This window comes from Homo sapiens, chromosome 7 (genome assembly GCF_000001405.40).
Source record: "Homo sapiens chromosome 7, GRCh38.p14 Primary Assembly".
In the NCBI taxonomy this organism is placed as follows: Eukaryota; Metazoa; Chordata; class Mammalia; order Primates; family Hominidae; genus Homo; species Homo sapiens.
Window position 1 is genome coordinate 31,114,193 of NC_000007.14, and position 6,708 is coordinate 31,120,900.

At 39.0% G+C, this 6,708-nt stretch overlaps 1 pseudogene; it reads right to left on the reverse strand.

Moving 5' to 3' along the window:
* Positions 1-4,942: 4,942 nt before the first annotated feature.
* LOC124901821 (small integral membrane protein 14-like) lies at positions 4,943-5,378 on the reverse strand (annotated as a pseudogene).
* Between the last annotated feature and the right edge of the window lie 1,330 nt (positions 5,379-6,708).

Consider the following 6,708-nt stretch of genomic DNA (forward strand, 5'->3'; position numbering starts at 1 on the left):
CCCCTGATCAGAAGTGGGGAGCTGTGTCTTCCCACACATTGAAACTAGTCTAGTTTCAAGGGGTGAGAGCATGTCTGCACCATTTCTGGTAGGCTCTCCCTCATGGATGCAGTTCCTGAGTGGATTCTGTGCCCTGGTGCTTTCTACATTAAGTAGTCTCTTTTTAATTTGGGGGATCCTCAGAGTAGTGATGGGGGTGTTGGGAGGGATGAAGGTCTTGTAATTTCTGACTGTCAGTTGCCCTAAAATGAACTAATGTAGATGCTCTGAGCCTCCCAATGTTGTTATACTGTGCCCTTGTGGGTAGCCTGTTGCAGTAGTTATTCTGGTGTGAACCTGGAAATTCCCTCTGCCACTGTCCTGGATGCAAAGTTGTAAATTCTGTGGGTGAAACCCAGTCATGAGGAGCTCTTCCATATGCTCTTTCTAGGCCAGAGAGGCAGTCTTTAGCAGATGGCAGACCTTTACAAAGACATCATATGTATCCATTCCAATTCATACAGGCTTTCAGCTGAATGGGGACTTTGCAGTGATATCTCAGCTTCAGTCAGCAAATCTTCCACCAACGCAGTGGGCAGGGCCTTTGTTCTGACCCTCAGGGCCCTCTCAGGACCACCCCTCTCAGTCACCCTCTTCTCCCTTCCCCTTTCAGAAGGCCCCCACCTGCAGTGTATTGTATTCTAGGTTCCTCTCCCTCACCCCAGGTCCCTCCTCCCCTCTGCCCCTGATGTAAACTCAGACATGGCTTGGGGTGAGTTCTCCTTGAGCTGATACTCTTGATGCCCTTATCTTTTGGGTGTCCCCAATACTTGAGAATCATCTGTAGTGTTCTCCTTAACCCTATTGAGACACTTTTTCCATGGACAAAAGCATCCATTCCTATGACATTAAGCCTCACTTCCATTAATAAACCCAACTATTCACCACCAGGAGCAGCTTTGGCTTGGGCAGTAAGTACCATGGAGAGAGCCAAGTGAACCTTGGGTCCAGCACCACAGACAGTTCCAAGACTGTACCTACTTGGCAGTCTGTGTGGCCTATTTTTATCTGATATGAACAAAGACAGATTTAGGTTTTATGAAGTTGGAAACTCATATAATTTGGGGAGTCCTCTTTAATACAAACTGAAAAATTTTTAATTAAAATTAGGTATAAAAATAAGGGTTTTTTTGAATGAGAAAAGTTGACAACTATGATAAACATTATGAAATCCAGAAAAACAACATCATCTTTGTATTAATTACTCTCTGATGCTTTTTGCCTACTTGTTTTGGTTGCTTACTCTTTGATAATCTCTTTATTAGCTGATAACATTTATATCATTTTCTGTTCATAAAATTTGAATATAATTTAGTCACATAGTTAATCAAAATGTGTGTTTTATTATTGAACATTTGGACTCAGCACCAATGAAAACAGAATCCTCCAATTACAGTGTTACACATATGATGATTGGCAGATTTTTTTCACAGACTGGCACCTGGCTCCATACACATCCAACTTTGTTTCTGCAGCACTGTGCACACTGCCAGGCACTGTATGACATTTTAATATGATGATATGATATGATCTCTGGCCCTCTCTCTGCCTTTGTACATAATGCTGAGTGAACAACAAGAGTATTCCTGGAAGGACAGTATAATATCACTGTATAATGAAGCAATGACACACACTCATGTGAAACCCACTGAACCAAACTGAGTGTCTCTCTAACTTAACCTCCCCTTCGTTGGATCCCCAAAGTGTTCCTGGCAGTTGAGTGCTACCCAACATGTAAGAAGGTGTGGTAGAGGAGATGTTAGGGTGGAGAGATGCTGTAGGCTTATCCAATTTGGGGCAAATAATTTACTTTTCCAAATTTTCCAAAAACATAAGATCTTGTGAACACACTTCTGAGATCCAAGTGAGAGAGAGGGGCTTGGAAAGTGCTGTATATGACCCACATTTATCTGTCATCACAGGAAGATATTTTTCAGTTTTACAAGACTGAAGCCCGTAATGCAGAGAACCAGAGATTTCTGAGGTCCCTGCTTTCAAATGATATCATGTGCTCTCTGGAGCATTCAGGTCACTCTTTAGATGGATGGCTGTTACCCCTCCATTCAAGAATCTCTTACTGGAAACTAACTATGTGGTAGAGGCATGGAGGGCACAGTTTGGCATCAAGAATGAACCAGAAACATTTTGTCTTCATAGTCAGGTGGTGAAGACTAGAATAAATAAACCAGGCATGGTGTGTGATAAGGTATAATTAAGGTATTAAGGGATCTGTGGGTTAATAAATATTTGTAATTGCTGCTTCAGCCTCCGTTGCCCTCGGCTCCCTCCAATAATTCCCTGATTTTGTTTTATGGAAACTGCCCACCTCATGATCAAACACAAGGTTTGGGTGCCTACACTCCTAGCCTCTGGGGTGGGTCCAGATAAACAAGCCAGGCCACATGGCCCTTATCACTCATTCCTCTGGCTGTAGTGACTGGCCCAGGGACAGACACACAGGCCATGTGAGGAGTCTATTTCTAGGGTTTCTGGGAAAGAGGGATTCCTCTTTTTTGTGAGGAAGCTTATTGGAGAGACACCCGCTTGTCCCCTGGAAAGCATGACACGAGAATGTGAGGCTTGCAGGTGCCACAGTCATTTGCAATTATGAGGGAAACAACTGGAGCTGTTCAGAGAACGTGGTAGGGATCCTCAAGATGAATCAGACAACAAGGGAGGCAGAGGGGAATAACAAAAGGAAATGGAGTCCTTGGCATTATCATCAGAACCACTTGATCAGGCCTCACCTGACTGATCTACTTATGGACTTTCCTAGGGACTGATGGGTAGGAGGGTTATTTGAATGGGCAAGATATAGAAAAGGCATCCTTTTATCATGAATTTTTAAAATAAATGCACTAAAGTACAGAGACCAATACAACAAATTCTGTGTCCACCCCAGAGCTAACAATATGCTATTATGCTTGATTCAGATATTTTAATTTTTTTAATGAAGGAACACATGACAGATGGAATTTGGTCTGCATTGTGGTATTTCTCAGTTTGATTTCCCTCCCTCTCCCCTTCCAGAGGCAGCCACTAACGAGAACTTAGTATGTATCCATACCATTTATGTTTTTGTACTTATAGTAAATATCCATCAACATTATTTAGCATGTGTGACTGTGTGCTTTTAAGTTCCATCAATGGCATCACACTAGATCTATCATTCTGCCTTTGTTTTCTAAGTAATTCTATGTGCTACTTATTTATTCATACTTGTACATTTAGATCTAGATGATTCCCTTTTAATTGTATAATATTACATCATAGAAACTTGCCAGGCATAGTCATTGTCCTCCCTGTGGAAACGTATGTACTTTACATTTTGAAGTTATTTCAAACAATGTCTTACGAAGATCTCATTATTTACATGTGCAGGAGTTTCTCTAGACTTAGAATTGAAAGAGCTGGATCCAAGGGTGTGAAATTTTCAACAATTCTCAGAGAAGAAGGAAGGAGAGGCAGATAGCATTTCATTTTTACTACTAAGGGATGCCTCACTGTGTTTCTATTAATGCTTATCTTTTTGCCTTAAATTCTATTTTGTTTGATAGTAATATAGTTGCAACAATTTTCTGGTTAATGTACACATGATGTTATCTGTTTCTACCCATTCACTTGCAATTTTTTCCCTCTTTATGTTTTTTAACTGTACAATGACATACAGAAGTTTATTCAGTTTATACAAGTAATTTCTCAGATTTATAAAGTAAAAAGCTAGACTGCCAGAGGAAAAATTCCTTACATTGATATCAAAATATCTTCTAGTCCCCATAAATCATCTGCAATCACTTGATAGAAAAAATATCCACAACCATATAGGTCATGCAGACTTTTAAAATGCTATTTGTATTCAGTTTGTTTCAAACTGAGCAAAACAGTGCAACTTTTACTTTTGTATACATTTCAAAATTATATTAATGTTCCTTCTCATTTCAACTCATCCCATTACCAATAAAACGGGAGTGAGATAAAAGGGGAGAAGATCCTTGACTGCTTCTCATTTTCCTTGAAATAAACTAATAATTCATTACAATTTTAATAAGTCATTATAAGGATAATAAAAGCCTCAAAGACTTTTTAAAATAAAATTATATAGTAAATAAGTAAATAAGCATTCAAATGTTAGTAACCCAACAGGCCCTAATACAGCTTTCAGATAGTTTCATATTAACAGGCAAATATTAGCACAGAAAAGAAGTTTCCCAAGAGGGACTCATTTTAAACATAAATCACAGCTTAAATTACTACTATACAGATTATACTGGGCAAAGACAGAAAGAATGAATGCTTTCCTCCGTTCATGAACTGTGTAAGGCTACGTTACAAAGTCAGATAATGGACTGTGAATCACCTACCATACCGATTAACCATGTTTATTTAAAGTTTTCTTAATATTAGACAATTTAATGGGGGTAGGAAAAAAGTAAACAACCATTTCGCTTCTTCTCTTCTTCTACTTTAGCCACATAAGCCAGTTGTAATGGATGATACAGGTTTCAGCTGCAATTTGTAAAATATTCCAAGAACTGCCATAGTCCCAAGAACTAGAGAAAACTGCCACCCACAAATAACCTACCAAAGTAAATATAAATACAGTATGATTCTAATTTTCTTTCATACAATCCCAGACAACCCCAAATAACTTTATAAAAAAGGAATTTACAAAGCTATCAAAACTATTTAAAATATTTAAAGGCAGAGTGGTCAAATTTCCTTCAATCAGACCAGAAATCATCACAAAAATTATGATCACAGTTACAAGCAGAATGAAAGGAATGTTTAAATTTAGGACAACCAACCCCATGTGACTTTTAAAAATGCAATAATTTACTCAAATATACTGTAACTAGAAATGGCAAGAATACAGGAAGCAAAAATAAGCTTGCGAGTGAAATTTCTAGAAGCTCATGGAAACCATCCCATCCCATATTGCAAATGCAAAAGGAAAAACAGTTCTCATAGAATTAAGAGTACTCTGGTCATTGTTGTTCATTTGGTCCTGCAAGGTGTTAACCACCTTCACTTCCCATGTCACAAAATTAGCCACAAGAGGAGCAGGTGGATCTTGTTCATTATGAGGACTGGTTGGCTTTTCAGGTACGTCGGATCCTCTTCAATCAGGAGGTCTCAGTAGGAACAAGACCACTGCAGTCACCAGCCAGGCCATCAAGATCATAGTAGCGCTGATGCCATTATCATCACAGGGTCCTGGTCATTCTTGCAAGCATCTGTCTCTGTGCAGCAGAGTTGGGGCTGCCACAACAGACTGGTCAGCCTTCTCATCGCATATTCATGAGAACATATTCATAGGGATCAAGCTCACTTTCTGCCATGATTATCCAGCTTGATTTTACTTGACTGTTTAAATACTTCTGGAGGCTGGGAAGTCCAGGATCAGGGAACTGGCAGATCTGGTGTCTGAAGAGGACTTGCTGTCTGGTTCATAGATGGTGCCTTCTCACCGTGTCCTCATAGAGTGGAAGGGGCTGTCTTTTTTATATTTTAGATATATCTTCTCTATGTAACATATTGATGAAAAATTTATTTTAATCCCAACTGATAGCCTGTGTTTAGATGGGCATAATTAGTCTATGGTTATTCACTGCGACTGAGGACATTTTGAGCTTATTTCATGACCTTACAGTCTATACGCCATGCCTTTGTTTCACCCCCTACCTGCTCATCTGCTCTCTCTTTTTTTTTTTTTTTGCCTTCCATTGCATTATCTTATTTCCCTTCCCTTTCTTTTACTGATATGGCAAATATACATTCTATTCTAATTGTGTTGTTTACATTTACAATTTTAACAAAATACCTAATTTTATGTTTTTCCATAAAACTTGAAAGTTGATCATCCTTCTTTCCTTCTCCAAAACAAGATACATACTTAAGCATGTGTAACTTTCTCCAAGATTTACATTTGCAGAATCTGTTATTGTTGTCTACTCTTTTAGACATACCTTATTTAAAATCCTAAATATAGTTCCTACAATTGTTTGTAGTTTGAGCTTATTGAGCTCTATCAATATACTTCTTTGCTTAAAATATTTGATTTCCAATCTTTCCTTCTTGTTGAAGTTAATCTTTTGAAGTAGTTCTGTGTAGGGGAGAGCACTCAGTCTTTATAAGATTGAGTTCAGAAAGTGGCTGTGTATTTTAGTTGGGCAGTTATTTTCTTTCAACACTTTTATACTGTGATTGCTACTGACATTTATTGTTTTTGAAGATAAAAATAGCCTGACACTTTTTTTCATTCTTTGGTTGCCTTTAAGCTTGGTCTTTATTATTGATGTACAGTTTCATTCTTACCCTGTTTGGCACATGTTATACTTTTGCCAGTCTGTTAATTCAAGTCTTTAGTTCTGGAAAATTCTTTACCAGAATATATTTGAACGATGCCAGTTGACAACAGAAATCCAGAGTGTGGATGTAGGAGGAAAGCCAGGGGAGTGTAGTGACAGGGAAGCCAAGAAAGGGTTTCTAGGAGAGGACAGTCATCTGGATCAAATGCTGCTAATGGTCTATGAAGAGTGGAATAGAAACCAGCAACTGGCTGAGAGGAAGGTGGCTGGGTCATCTCTTGCCCCAGGCTTGAGAGGGGAAGGCTTGAGGGCCTCCATCCTTGGCTTTGACTGGGCACCCCCAGGACTGTCTACAGCCCCA